The sequence below is a fragment of the Homo sapiens genome, chromosome 8, assembly GCF_000001405.40.
Source record: "Homo sapiens chromosome 8, GRCh38.p14 Primary Assembly".
Taxonomy (NCBI): Eukaryota; Metazoa; Chordata; class Mammalia; order Primates; family Hominidae; genus Homo; species Homo sapiens.
In genome coordinates, this window is record NC_000008.11 from 20,953,301 (window position 1) to 20,969,333 (window position 16,033).

The 16,033-nt window shown below is 41.9% G+C and overlaps 2 long non-coding RNA genes across 3 annotated transcripts in view; one reads left to right on the forward strand and one right to left on the reverse strand.

The window, feature by feature from the left end:
- The window catches only part of LOC105379316 (uncharacterized), a 36,228-nt gene that overhangs the window by 656 nt on the left and 19,539 nt on the right, over positions 1 to 16,033 (reverse strand). The window contains exon 3 of the long non-coding RNA XR_007060845.1: positions 1,355 to 1,444. This is a non-coding gene — a long non-coding RNA (uncharacterized LOC105379316). The remainder of the gene's footprint in view (positions 1 to 1,354; positions 1,445 to 16,033) is intronic.
- Positions 333 to 15,638, forward strand: LINC03023 (long intergenic non-protein coding RNA 3023). Of its 2 annotated transcripts, none has more exons than NR_130774.1 (5): positions 333 to 393; positions 541 to 775; positions 2,385 to 2,534; positions 9,481 to 9,601; positions 15,487 to 15,638. It is a non-coding gene; the product is annotated as a long intergenic non-protein coding RNA 3023 (long non-coding RNA). The 2 variants fall into 2 exon arrangements; NR_130773.1 differs by lacking the exon at positions 2,385 to 2,534 and adding an exon at positions 2,574 to 2,820.

The following is a 16,033-nucleotide window of genomic DNA, read 5'->3' on the forward strand; positions in this document are numbered from 1 at the left end:
GGTTTTCTTTAAGTGGGCAGCCTCAAGCCAACAGCCAGCAAGGAATAAAAGCCCTATATTCCACAACCTAAGAAAATAAATTCTTCCAACAACCTGAGTAAGGTTGGAAGCTGATTCTTCTCCAGACTCCCAGATGAGAACACAGGCAGGCTGACTCTTGAGTCCAGCCTTGTGGAACCCAGAGAAGAGGGCCCAGGTAAGCCATGGCTAGACTCCTGACTGACAGAAATTGTGACATCACACATGTGTTATTTTAAGCTACTAAGTTGGTGGTAATTTGTTGTGCAACAATAGAATACTCATATAGCTTAGCTGAATCATGATTAACCACTGGAAGAAGAAGGAAGCCAAAGTATCTGATGCACTGGAGAATGAAAACCCGTTCAAAATCAGGTTCTTACAGGAAGGACAAGGGACACTTGGCTATATGTAGACCACAGACAGTATTTGATATAGTGTGTCTGCATTCTACTATATATATATATATATATATATTTTACATATATAAATGGAGGATCTTACATTATTTTGTTTTAACAGAAGTATAGAGAAGTTTTCTGTAAAATGGAAATGAGTATCATGAAGTTTTAAATGAACAGTGTAAAACAGAAGACATCAGCATTCATTAGGTCCCAGACCTCTTTGAGAATCTGATGAAATTCTGGACAACCTCTCCTCCCACAAACAAGATGTACTAGAATACCTACACATAAAATGTTGCATTCAATTTTGGAATGTGAAGAGATCATTTGAAGCCGATCCAGAGGCCTCTAAGGTAGGTATGTACTATACAGGGCTTGGAGACCTGGACTGCTCTGGTCATGCAGATGTGAGAGGGTGATATCAGTAGAGAGTTGTAGTGAGTAAGAAAATGTTCTCAGGAAACCTCAGCTTGTCGTTATATGGCAGAAACATGTTCAGATGTGTGACTCAGGGATTACTTAATATAGTTGGGGTTGGAAAGAATGAAGAGAGTATCCCAGGCATCAGGGCTGATGGGCAAGGATGGAGACAGAACCTTCTGGATCAGCCTGAGTCAGGAAGCAGCTCAGGATACAGAAAAGCCAGGGCTCTTGAGTTAAGGAGGGCACTGATGCAGTGCAAAGAGGAGAAGGTGAGAGAGCAGAGGAATAAGGGTGGAAGGACCAAGAGATACACCTGCCAGGGGGACTAGGGTATTAGCACCTCCGCCTTTCCTGTGCTGGGGTGAGAAGGAGGAAAAAGAAAGGACTAGTAGAAGCTGTTTCTAAGGGATCTCTGGCTTCTCCAGGAGAATTGCTTAACTTTGTTTTCGATTCAATAGCAATCCAAAAAAATTAATATAAGCATTTTTCCCGACCATATAGATAACTACCTTAAAACCAGCCATGGATTTCATTGTCCCCATTCGCCTTGGCATTGTGGTCATGTCTGTAACAATTAGCACTACAATCATTGACGCAGCCTAGATAGAAAAGAACAGAGGGGAAATTGCAATGTAAATGGCACACTTCTGCCAAGTGAAAACCAAATGACTTCATAGATGCTGGTGTGTTCGTGGGAGAATTGAACTTTCACAAGGCAGGTGGAAGCAGAGGCAAGCCAAACTCAGAGGACCTGTTGGATGTGCTCATGTCCTGGGTGGTTGACTGAGTTTTAGCAAAGCAATACCGACTGTAATATTGAGTTAATTTTGTTAATTTGAATTGTTTGGATTCTGTCATCTTCTTTGTATTTAATCTTTAAATTTGTTTTGGGTTTGTGGCTGCCACAGACAGCCTGCTCTTCTCTTTCTGGACATGTGGTAAAATGCCACGGTGGGGCCCCCTTCTGTTGTGCAGAACACATGATTAGTTCTGGCCAGTGAGTTGTGAGTGCGAAGTGACACTTCATAGCATTTAGCTGCAGTGTGAGTCTCTCCAGTACCGCTTTTGCCTCTAGCAACGTTTGAGATTGCACTAAGTATCTCCCTGTGTGCTGCTCCAGGTGCGTCCCAACTCCTCTGTGCCTTCGCTGGAAGCAGGTCTGGAGAAAATGGGTCCATGGTCTCCCTTCCATTCTAACTTCCGGTTGGATTTGGCCAATGGGGCGTTCTGGCAGGAAACTGCAGGGCAGGAGGCGAATGGGGTCAAAAGAGTAGGCATAAGTCTCTTGGCTCCGTGTGCCAGGTCCATTTGGGTTGGCTGCAACCCTCTGTCAGTCAGTCACTGTCCAGGTGCTGGTAACTGCTTCCCCACCTTGTCCCTTCAGGGTAAGGGTGGCTAGGCATTTCTAGCCTGCTGGTACTAAACTATAACTTCTTACCACTTTGCCTAACCCCCCTCTTTGCCTGGTAAGTAGTACAAATAAATAATAAACTTCTCCTCAAAGTCTTTAGTTTAGGTGTCCTCTTTGTCTCTTGCCAGGACTTGACTGGTGCAGTATTGGTGGCTGCTGGGTCAGATGAGCTCCCTGCTATTCCAAGAAACAATACATGTTTGCAGCCACTAAGATTTGAGGACTTTTGTTATTACTGCCTATCCTGACAGACTCAGGTGCTACAACTATTTAAGGGCATAAGTATAATAAATTAATATCTAGTTTTATGTTTTCAGATGTCTTAAAACTATTTAAGGGGATCCACGCAAAATGTTGTTCCCTTAAAAGAGGGCACATCTCTCTCACGTGGAGAAATACTGGTAAGAGGAAAAGACTTTCAAGTCAACCAACTTGATGTGGTGTGCAGGTGCTGCAATTTACTTCAGACATTGCATCTATAAAAGAAAGATAAGGTCTCGGCTGGCAAGATGGCCTAAGAGGAACAGCTCCAGTCTGCAGCTCCCAGCAAGATTGATGCAGAAGGCAGGTGATTTCTGCATTTCCAACTGAGGTACCCAGTTCATCTCACTGGGACTGGTTAGACACTGGGTGCAGCCCACAGAGGGCAAACCAAAACAGGGTGGGGCATTGAGCATGAGGAACCGTGCACTCCGGCCCAGATACTGTGCTTTTCCCATGGCATTCACAACCCGCAGACCAGGAGACCCCCTCTGGTGCCTACCCCATCAGGACCCTGGGTTTCAAGTACAAAACTGGGAAGCCATCTGGGCAGACACTGAACTAGCTGCAAGAGCTGTTTTTTTGTTCATACCCTAGTGGCACCTGGAACACCAGCATGACAACCATTCACTCCCCTGGAAAGGGTGCTGAAGCCAGGGAGCCAAGTGGTCTGGCTAGGCAGGTCCTACTCCCACAGAGCCAGCAAACTAAGATCCACTGGCTTGAAATTCTCACTGCCAGCACAGCAGCAGCCTGAGATCAACCTGGGACAGTCGAGCTTGGGGAGGGGCATCTGCCATTGCTGAGGCTTGAGAAGGTGGTTTTACCCCCCCCCCAGTGTAAACAAAGCCACCTGGAAGTTCAAACTGGGTGGAGCCCACTCAGCTCAGCAAGGCTACTGTGGCCAGACTGCCAGATTTCTCCTCTCTGGGTTAGGGCATCTTTGAAAAGAAGGCAGCAGCCCCAGTCAACCTATAGATTAAAACCCCCTTCTCCCTGGGACAGAAAACCTGGGGGAAGCGGCAGCCATGGGCACGCTTCAGCAGACTTAAATGTCCCTGCCTGATGGCTCTGAAGAGAGCATCGGACCTCCCAGCACAGCGTTCAAGCTCTGCTAAGGGTCAGACTGCATCCTGAAGTTGGGTACCTGATGCCCCTGTATCCTTGACTGGAAGACACCTCCCAGTAGGGGCTGACAGACACGTCATACAGGAAAGCTCTGGCTGGCATCTGGCAGATGCCCCTCCAGGATGAAGCTTCCAAAGGAAAGAACAGGCAGCAATCTTTGCTGTTCTGCAGCTTCTGCTGGTAATACCCAGGCAAATGGGGTCTGGAGTGGACCTCCAGGAAACTCCAGCAGACCTGCAGCAGAGGGGCCTGATTATTAGAAGGAAAACTAACAAACAGAAAGGAATAGCAGGTCCACTGAAAGACCCCATCTGAAGGTCACCAACATAAATCCACAAAGATGGGGAGAAACCAGAGCGAGAAGGCTGAAAATTACAAAAATCAGAATGCCTCTTCTCTGCCAAAGGATCACAACTCCTTGCCAGCAAGGGAATAAAACTGGGTGGAGAAACTGACAGAAGTAGGCTTCAGAAGGTGGGTAATAACAAACTCCTCTGAGCTAAAGGAGCATGTTCTAACCCACTGCAAGGAAGCTAAGAACCTTGAGAAAAGGTTAGACAAATTGCTAACTAGAATAACCAGTTTAGAGAAGAACATAAATGGCCTGATGTAGCTGAAAAACACAGCACGTGGACTTCATGAAGCATACCTAAGTATCAATAGCCAACTAAGTATCAATAGCCAAATCAATCAAGTGGAAGAAAGGATATCAGAGATTAAAGATCAAGTTAATGAAATAAAGAGAGAAGACAAGATTAGAGAAAAAAGAATAAAAAGGAACTAATAAAGCCTCCAAGAAATATGGGACTGTGAAAAGACCAAATCTACATTTGATTGGTGTACCTGAAAGGAACGGGGAGAATGGAACCAAGTTGGAAAACACTCTGCAGGATATTATCCAGGAGAACTTCCCCAACCTAGCAGGTCAGGCCAACATTCAAATTCAGGAAATACAGAGAATGCCACAAAGATACTCCTCGAGAAGAGCAACTCCAAGACACATAATTGTCAGATTCACCAAGGTTGAAATAAAAGAAAAAATGCTAAGGGCAGCCAGAGAGAAAGGTTGGGTTACTCACAAAGGGAAGCCCATCAGGCTAACAGTGGATCTCTCTGCAGAAACCCTACAAGCCAAAAGACAGTCAGGGCCAATATTTAACATTCTTAAAGAAAAGAATTTCCACCGCCGAATTTTGTATCTAGCCAAAGTAAGCTTCAGAAGTGAAGGAGAAATAAAATCCTTTATAGACAAGCAAATGCTGAGAGATTTTGTCACCACCAGGCCCACCTTACAAGAACTCCTGAAGGAAGCACTCAACGTGCAGTTTTGCCACTGCAAAAACCATCGACACTATGAAGAAACTGCATCAACTAATGGGCAAAATAGACAGGATCAAATTCACACATAACAATATTAACCTTAAGTGTAAATGGGCTAAATGCCCCCAGTGAAAAGACACAGACTGGCAAATTGGATAAAGAGTCAAGACCCATCTCTGTGCTGTATTCAGGAGACCCATCTCACATGCAAAGACACACATAGACTCAAAATAAAGGGATGGAGGAATATTTACCAAGCAAATGGAAAGCACAAAAAAAAAAAAGCAGGAGTTGAAATCCTAATCTCTGATAAAACAGACTTTAAACCAACAAAGAAGGCCATTACATAATGGTAAAGGGATCAATGCAACAAGAAGAGCTAACTATCCTAAATATATATGCACCCAATACAGCAGTACCCAGAATCATAAAGCAAGTCCTTAGAGACCTACAAAGAGACTTAGACTCCCACACAATAATAATGGGAGACTTTAACACCCCACTTTCAACATTAGATAGATCAACAAGAGAGAAAATTAACAAGGATATTCAGGACTTGAACTCAGCTCTGGACCAAGAAGACCTAATAGACATCTACAGAACTGTCCACCCCAAATCAGCAGAATATACATTATTCTCAGCACCACATAGCACTTACTTATTCCAAAATTGACCACATAGTTGGAAGTAAAGCACTCCTCAGCAAATGTAAAAGAAAGAACAGAAATCATAACAAACAGTCTTTCAAACCACAATGCAATCAAATTAGAACTCAGGATTAAGAAACTCACTCAAAACCACACAACTACATGGAAACTGAACAACATGCTCCTGAGTGACTACTGGGTAAATAACAAAATGAAGGCAGAAATAAAGATGTTCTTTGAAACCAATGAGAATGAAGACACAACGTACCAGAATCTCTAGGACACATTTAAAGCAGTGTGTAGAGTGAAATTTATAGCACTAAATGCCCACAAGAGAAAGCAAGAAAGATCTAAAGTTGACACCCTAACACCAAAATTAAAAGAACTAGAGAAGCAACAGCAAACAAATTCAAAAGCCAGCAGAAGACAAGAAATAACTAAGATCAGCGCAGAAGTGAAGGACATAGAGACATGAAAAACCCTTCAAAAACTCAATGCATCCAGGAGATGGTGTTTTGAAAAGATAAACAAAATAGATAGATAGACCGCTAGCCCGACTAATAAGACAAGAGAGAAGAATCAAATAGATGCAATAAAAAATGATATAGGGGATATCACCACTGATTGATCTCCCAGAAATACACACTACCAACAGAGAATACTATAAACACCTCTATGCAAATAAACTAGAAAATCTAGAAGAAATGGATAAGTTCCTGGACATACACCCTCCCAAGACTAAACCAGGAAGAAGTCAAACCCCTGAATAGACCAATAACAAGTTCTGAAATTGAGGCAGTAATTTAATAGCCTACCAATCAAAAAAAGTCCAGGACCAGACGGATTCACAGCTGAATTCTTGCAGAGGTTCAAAGAGGAGCTGGTACCATTCCTTCTGAAACTATTCCAAACAATAGAAAAAGAGGGAATCCTCCCTAAGTCATTTTATGAGGCCAGCATCATCCTGATACCAAAACCTGGCAGAGAAGCAACAAAAAAAGAAAATTTCAGGCCAATATCCTTGATGAACATGAATGGTGAAAATCCTTAATATAATGCAGGAAAACCAAATCCAGCAGCACATCAAAAAGCTTATCCACCACGATGATCAAGTTGGCTTTATACCTGGGATGCAAGGCTGGTTCAACATATGGAAATCACTAAACGTAATCCACCATGTAAACAGAACCAAAGACAAAAACCACATGATTATCTCAACAGATGCAGAAAAGGCCTTTGACAAAATTCAACACCCCTTCATGCTAAAAACTCTCAATAAACTAGGTATCAATGGAACATATCTCAAAATAATAAGAGCTATTTATGACAAATCCACAGCCAATATCATACTGAATGGGCAAAAACTGGAAGCATTCCCTTTGAAAACTGGCACAAGACAAGGATACCCTCTCTTACCACTCCTATTCAACATAGTGTTGGAAGTTCTGGCCAGGGCAATCAGGCAAGAGAAAGAAATAAAGGGTATTCAAATAGGAAGAGAGGAAGTCAAATTGTGTCTGTTTGCAGATGACATGATAGTATATTTAGAAAACCCCACTGTCTCAGCCCAAAATCTCCTTAAGCTGATAAGCAACTTTAGCAAAGTCTTAGGGTACAAAATCGATGTGCAGAAATCACGAGCATTCCTATACACAAATAACAGACAAACAGCCAAACCATGAGTGAACTCCTATTCACAATTGCTTCAAAGAGAATAAAATACCTAGGAATCCAATTTACAAGGGATGTGAAGGACCTCTTCAAGGAGAACTACAAACCACTGTTCAAGGAAGCAAGAGAGGACACAAACAAATGGAAAAACATTCCATGCTCATGGACAGGAAAAATCAATATCATGAAAATGGCCATACTGCCCAAAGTAATTTATAGATTCAATGCTATCCCCATTACGCTACCATTGACTTTCTTCACAGAATTGGAAAAAACTACTTTAAAGTTCATATGTAACCAAAAAAGAGCCTGCAGAGCCAAGACAAGCCTAAGCAAAAAGAACAAAGTTGGAGCCATCATGCTACCTGACTTCAAACTATACTACAAGGCTACAGTAACCAAAACAGCATGGTACTGGTGCCAAAACAGATATATAGACCAATGGAACAGAACAGAGGCCTCAGAAGTGACACCACACATCTACAACCATCTGATCTTTGACAAACCTGACACAAACAAGCAATGGGGAAACGATTCTCTATTTAATAAATGATGTAGGTAAAACTGACTAGTCATATGAAGAAAACTGAAACTGGACCCTTTCCTTACACCTTATACAAAAATCAACTCAAGGTGGATTAAAGACTCAAACGTTAAGGACTAAAATCATAAAAATCCTAGGAAAAAACCTAGGCAACACCATTCAGGACATAGGCATGGGCAAAGACTTCACGTCTAAAACACCAAAAGCAATGGCAACAAAAGCCAAAATTGACAAATGGGATCTAATTAAACTAAAGAGCTTCTGCACAGCAAAAGAAACTATCATCAGAGTGAACAGACAACCTACAGAATGGGAGAAAATTTTTGCCATCTATCCATCTGACAAAGGGCTAATATCTAAAATCTACAAAGAACTTAAACAAATTTTCAAGAAAAAAAACCCCCGTCAAAAAGTGGGCAAAGGATATGGACAGATGCTTTTCAAAAGAAGATATTTATGCAGCCAACAAACATTTGAAAAATGCTCATTATCACTAGTCATTAGAGAAATGCAAATCAAAACCACAATGAGATACCATCTCCTGCCAGCTAGAATGGTAGTCATTAAGTCAGGAAACAACAGATGCTGGAGAGGATGTGGAGAAACAGGAACGGTTTTACACTGTTGGTGGGAGTGTAAAGTAGTTCAACCATTGTGGAAGACAGTATGGCAATTCCTCAAAATACCATTTGACCCAGCAATCCCATTACTGGGCCAAAGGATTATAAATTATTCTACTATAAAGACACATGCACATGTATGTTTATTGTGGCACTATTCACAATAGCAAAAATTTGGAACCAACCCAAATGTCCATCAATGATAGACTGGATAAAGAAAATGTGGCACATATACACCATGGAATACTATGCAGCCATAAAAAAGGATGAGTTCATGTCCTTTGCAGGAACATGGACATAGAAACCATCATTCTCAGCAAACTAACACAAGAACAGAAAACCAACCACCACATGTTCTCACTGATAAGTGGGAGTTGAACAATGAGAAGACATGGACACAGGGAGGGGAACATCACACAGTGGGGCCTGTTGGGGGATGGCTAGGGGAGGGATAGCATTAGGAGAAATACTTAATGTAGGTGACAGGTTGATGGGTGCAGCAAACTACCATGGCACGTGTGTACCTGTGTAACAAACCTGCACATTCTGCATATGTACCCCAGAACTTAAAGTATAATTAATAAATAATGAATCCAACTCTTAGGAATGTAAGGTTTAGATAATGCATCTAAGACGCTCAGCAGATGACTTGGCATCTAGCATTTGCTCTATAAATGATGGCTAATATTAACTCATCAGTGATAGCTACAATTAAATTGTTACTAACAATAGCCTAAAGGATTATTGCCTAGAGAGTAACATATGGAGTAATCAGGCAGGGGATGAGGGAAAAGAAGGAGTTAGCCAGCAGGGAAGGGGTTGACTGTGGAACAAGTGTTCAGGATCAGGAGGCAGAAGACCTTTGCAGAAAGAGGAGGAGGGCCTGTGATTAGGCCAGCAATGGCAGGGTGGAGTCAGGCCAGGACCAGAGCTGATGGCTAAGGCACTCAAGTAGAAGCCGCTAGAGTATCTGTGGAGAAGCCTGGGGTATAGAGGTGATACAAGACTCACCATTTTAAAAAATGTTTTTTAGTGACCGGATCTCACTCTGGCACCTAGACTGGAGGGTACTGGCATGAACTCCTGGGCTCAGATGTCCTCCCACCTCCACCTTCTGAGTAGCCGGAATTACAGGAATGAACCATCATGCTCAGGTAATTTTTTAATTTTTTTTTCTTTTGTAAACACAAGGCCTCACTATGTTGCGCAGGCTAGTCTTGAGCTCCTGGCCTCAAGCAATTCTCCTCCTTCAGCTTCCCAAAATGCTGGAATTACAGGTGTTAGCTGCCACACCCAGCCCAAAGCTCCCCATTTTTTACTTACTTTCATCTCCGTATCTTTGATGCAAGTCACCCAAAAAAGCAGCATGGCAATTATCCCAAAAATAGGCCACCAAGGACCAGTGCACAGCCCCTGCCTTTGTCAAGATCTGGTAGAGGGAGGCCTCCTGGGCACTGCCAGCCCCTGGGTCCTTCTAAGCTTTGGAATTCTCACACCTGCCAAATGCAGTGTGGAGCAGCTTAAGGGCCACCTATAGGTGAACTAGCCATGCATATGGGCCTTAGTCTTTCTCTTTGACACCTCCATTGCTCCCAGGTAAGGCGTGCTCAGAGCTGGCATTTCCTCTACTAATAAAGCTGTATCCATTGTCGTATGGTGAAAAGAATTCTGGCACCCAACAGCCAGTTTTCTTATTGATGATGATGGAAATAATAATAATAATTTTATGGCACTTTTATTCAGCAGAAGCTACAAACAGAAAATAGTGCCTTCAATCAGCAAATGTGTCGCACTCTTTTTTTTTTTCTGTCAGAGCCCCACACTTTCACACATACAACACACACACAGAGCTCACATTTAGTGTTCTCAGTAATGCTGTGAGATACTTGTCATTTTCCTCATTCTCAGGCAAGGCACCTGAGCCTCGGGGTGATGAAAGAGATTACTTAGATGATCAGAGACTGAGAAAGTGCTGATGTTGGGACACCCAGGGAGGTCTCATTGGAGCAGGGCTAGGCTCGAATCAGGGAAGGAAGCTGAGAATCTGGAATCTCAGGCTGAGCCTGGCCAAGTGTCCACCTACAGGGAGTGACAGAGGTTAGCGCACTAAGTCCAAGAAGCTGTGACCAGGAAACCAGAGTGAGAAGAGCTGGCCAAAGTTGGTGAGGTAGGGAGAATACATGAAGGCCTGATTAGGGATAAACGTGAATATGAAAAACTAATACAAAGAGAAAGTGAGATAACCAGAGACTAAGGAGATCCAGGACTGCCAGAGGCGAGTTTGAGGCAGAATTCTCCCCAAATGCCACTGGTAAGACACTCTCATTAGGATGGAGTTGGTCCCTAAAGCAGATTGACATCACCGGACACTTTGACTCTAATTCCAGGCCAGTGCTATATCCCAAGATCCTTATCCTGAGGTTAATGTGTGTACAGAATTTTGTGTCTGTGTGTTTGCAGATGTGTGTGCTCTTGGGAAAGTGGTTCATAGCTTTTATTATATAATCAAAGGGATCTTTGTGCTCTCCGATGTAAGCAACTCAGCTGCCTTCACTACATGTGCTTGCCGCCAGCCCATGACCAACTTCATTCCGAAATTTAATGTCCCGCCCAATCGTTTCTAGTCCTGGAGGATTTTCCATAAGCCACTCTTCTAACTCACCCTCAATGAATTGATCGATTGATCGATAAGAACTTCTTTGGTGTCTAGGCCAGTACTAAACACCACAATAAATATAGCAATTACTTAAGGCACAGTCCCACCCCCAAAGACCCCCTTAAGATCTGGGCTTGGAGACAAGAGACAGACAGCATGAGGGGCTTGAGAGTAAAAGACAGCATAAAAGTCAGTGAGACATTGAGATGTTACGTGTCAGAAGAGGAGAGATGAGTGAGATGTGGGTTACCAGGTGGCCACACGTGTTGGCTGTGGTCAGGTGGGAAAAACTGGGACCTTGGACCCAGACCATCTGGATTTTAGTTCTCACTACCACCTGCTGCACACTGTTGGGTGAATGATTAATGTCTCTCATTTGCAAAAATAGGGATCATAGCATTTATGCTGCAGGTGTTGTTACCAACACAATGGAGGTTTATTTAAGTTCACGTGGGTGCAAGTGCCTAGGTCAGGCAAATAGTCCACAATGCTCCAAGCTCATCATGAGCACCATAGGTATTTATTTTAAAAGTATGTATTGTTGGATTTTCATATCTATGAATGTCTTATAAATTGAATCACGCTTTGCAAGCTTTTTCCCTCCCAAGTATATTGCATTGGTCACCTATGTTAATAGAGGGAGCTCTGGTTAATTCTTTTGCACTTATTATACATTGCCACACTGTATTTATACCTTCTTCTGTTGGTAGATTTTTCCCCCCAAATATTTACTATTATAAATATTTCTGTTATAATCATACTTGCAGATGTTCAAGAGTTTCTCCTGAAGTGGATTTGCTGGCTGGTAGAGTATTTGCATTTTATGCTTTGTCAGAAAACATTATTTTCCAAGGAGTTGGACTAATTTACACTGTCACCTCTGGTGTATGAAAATTCCATTGCCTTGCTGATATTTGATATTGTCAGACTCAGGAAATTCTGTGTGTGATTTTGATGGCACTAAATGGTAGATGTTTTGATTTCCATTCCTCTAATAACTATTGTGAATAAGTATCTTTATTATAATTGTCTTGGCTGTACCAGTGTTTTTATGTTAAATGCCTCGTCATATCTTTGTCCTGATTTCTTATAGATTCATAAAAGTTCTTTATATATTCTGAATACTAACCCTTTCTGTTTGTGTAGCAAACATCTTCTCACAGTTCTGGCTTGCTTTTTGAATTTCTTTATGGTCTCTTGATGAACACCTGTAATTCTTGAAATGAACTACTACTTAAGGCAAGGCTATGAAGACCCAACTTCTTGGTTACTTAATAGACTTTCATAATAAATGAGAACTTCAAGGATGGTAGGGTGGGCTGAATACATATGACTGTCCCGAAAAGCTTAGAGAAAGAAAATGACAAGCTCAGTCCTTTAAATTCTCATTCAAGGTAATGTCAGGAAACCAGATGTTTCTATAATTGCACTAAAATATTATCTCATCTACCATAGCAATATAACCAAGGTACCTAAAAATTCATTGCAAAATTTGATCTTGTAGTTTGAGAATTACTACACAAATTGAATTTATGACTGTTCTAAGTTTCTTATGTAAAAGTGAGGGCACTGATTAAGGAAGAATGGGACATGAGCTTTGGCAGGTGGATATTTTGGTCAATTTGGATGAACTTAAGTACCAAGATGCTCCCTCCTTAAAAAATTCCAGTTACCAGCAGAAGCAGCCCATTGTCCTCTACCCGAAACATCAGCCTATCCTTGCTTAAAGGTCAGCTAAAAACCCCCACTGAAGCAGTAACCTTGCATAGTATATTGATGTCTTTTAAGACCCACCTTCACCGCTCCCCATTGCCTACAGGGCTCAGGAAAATGGTTGTTATTTTACATAGTGAAAGAATGACAAGGTCGAGCTAATTCAAACAATAAATTCAAACAAACAATAAAAAATAAAATAAAGAAAAAACAGGAGTATGTGTGGCAATAGATTTCAGGAGTGCCAGATCAGAGAAAAAGAAACACTGTGTAGAATTGAGTCAAATTTATTGATATGAGTGCACTTAATGAAGAGTCTAGATTTGGTGTGTTAGCTAGAACAGCTGAGAAGTGCCCTAACAGTGTGCTTGGAATGTTGATTGCAACTTGGAATCAGTGGAATTACAGTAAATGATGAAGCCACATTTCTTCGGCATAATATAGAGGAAGAAATCCAACCTCTGAAAAGACATGGGCAAATTGGAGTGGATGTGTCGCATGTGAGACCCACTCATCCTCACTGTAATATCTCCCTGGAGGACTCAGGGGACACTTTCTTCACCAAAAAGCAAACAAAGAAATAAAAACCAAACAGCTACAATAAAACAAAACAAACACACTGGGAAATAGATTGGTGAAGGGGAAGCCAGCCTCTTTGAAAAGCTCTATAATGCCTGTTCTCTGTAGGAAGGATGGGTCATGATAGATGGTTCTGTAATTTTGATGGGGATGATGGTACCCAGTGATGCCAGAAGCCGAGGGGCAGCCCTTAACCAACAAAACCACAGTGGGCACCTTTGCTGAAAAAAATGCAGTAGGGCCTAATGAGCAGCTAATATCAATGAATATTTGTTAAGCATTTATAATGCACTAAGCCTTCTGAAAAATGCTTTCTGTGCATCCTCCTCATTGCATTGTCACAGTGACAATCAGAGGGAAGCGCTACAGTATTTTCCCATTTTACAGATGAAGCTCTTGGGGCTCACAAACATTAAATAACCTTCTTTGATGAGAGAGGGCAAGTTATTTAACATCTCTAAGGTTGACTTATGGTAATCATAATGGGTAGACTTCAAAGGAGTCTTTGGTAGAACGTAATTCATTTGTGGAATGCTTAGCAATGAAATTAGTTTGTTACTAACTCAGTCTCTAGGGCTGAAAGTGAAGTTTTACTTGATATAAAGAACTGAAAAAGTTCTAAGACCCATGACCCAAATCTTGGCACCAAAAGTTGTGGCCCTTCGCCTTATTCTAAGAACTGAGGCAGTTCACCAACCCAGAGACTCTTGATTAAAGGAAAGACTAGGTGACTCTAAGGAAGGACTCTACAACCCTGATGCAAGTTTATGCTGCATATTTGATTTCCTAAACTTCACCCACAGAGACCTATAGCCATTTATTAGGACTTGTGTGCATGGAAGAAAGGGAACTAACCAGCCTTTGGTGGGGTAGATTACTAAATATTCGCTGAGAGCTGACACTTATCCCCGAAGATCACAGACAGACAGTACTGTGGCCCACCAATTAGAGCAAGGCCTGATGGAGATCAGAGGCCACCCCACACAGCATGGGTGTAGCCCATCTTACGTTGGGGGTGAGATCACTCAATGTCTTGGCTTTGTGTGGAGGTCTCTAACTCATCTCCCTCAGCCCCTTGCATGGATCCAGATTTCGCCTCTTGCCTCTGTACAACTATGGAAATAGAGGTTCCAATCACTGGGGATTGGCAGAAGCCCAAGACTTTAGCATAGCTTCATGACTGCTGTAGGTGAGGTCTTTAGCTGGTCTTTAAGCAAGGATAAGCTGGTGTTTTGCGTAGAGGAGAATGGGCTGCCTCTGCTGGCAAGTGGAATTTTTTAGGGAGGGAGCATCATTGTACTTAAATTCATCCAAATTCACCAAACTGTCCTCCTTCCAATTCTCAGATTTGTGTTTTCACTTCATTTTTTACTTCTAGGGATTTCTCTTGTTCTCTTGTCAATTCAGTGCATGCATTAAAAAATGTGGTTACTTTTCTGAATTTTATCAGCACTTCTAGATGCTTTACAAAGAGGGGGAATTATATTACCTACTCTGAGAAAAAATTTTTTTATCATAGTACCAACAGCACTTAGCACTTTTCATTTGTGCCATAAGTAGATACATACATGTGTTTTCCATTCTACGAGATGCTGAGTTCCTGGTACAGGTCAGGGACTGACTGTGTCCTTTATTTGTTTTAATTTTTTTTTATGAGCTCAGTTCAACAAACACATAAGGAGTGCTTACTCGGTGTTAGGCACCATGCTGGGTGCTGAGGAAGCAAGCCTGTGGTTCTTGTATTTAATGTTTTCTGTAAGAACAACTCTCTAGCTAGCACCCTCCATTTAGTGGGATCTCTCTAAGTGCTGAAACATCCCATGAGCATTCTGTGTTTTTGCCTATGCTGCTTTTTCCCATCTGAAATACCTTCTTCTCCACCCTTTTCCTAGCCTACTGCTACCTGCTTCTGAAGGATACTAAGCCCCACCGTTTTCATGAATCTTACACTATATTTAATACTAGAGAGGCTCTGTCTCCTCTCTTTCTTTGAATATAATATGTCATTTGCACTGATCGATGTAAAATGTGAGTACTTATTTCTTCATGTAATTTAATATTGTCCACCTCCCCCCTCCGATCCCCTGCTAGATTTCAAGCTCCCTGAAGATGAAGGCTGAATCCTACACCTCGCTTGTATCCTCCATGGCTCATTGAACAAGTGCTAGCTAGCTACATGGAGACTGCTCAATAAATATTGAATAACTCACGAGGGACTCAATAAATAACGATTGCTTAATTGATTAGCTCCGTCAATAAATCTTGCTTTGAACAGAGGTACAGCCATTGAAGATACTCAAAAGGCAATCTCGGTCACTGTGCCTCTGGATAGGGGAAAGCTCCATGAATGTAAGATCTGGTGGGAGAAGGCAAGTTATTTAACCTCTCTAAGCCCCGGGAGCTTCATCTGTAAAATGGGAAAATACTGTAGTGCTTCCGTGTCATTGTCACTGTGACAATGTAATGAGGATGATGCACAGAAGGCATTTATCACACTGCCTAGTCCATTATAAATTCTTAATAAACATTAATTGATATTAGCTACTCATAGATCTTAAGAACTGGATTGAAAGAAACACCATGAGAAAACTTTCAATCTGTAGCAATATTACCCAATAGCTTCATGTTGTAGAGACAC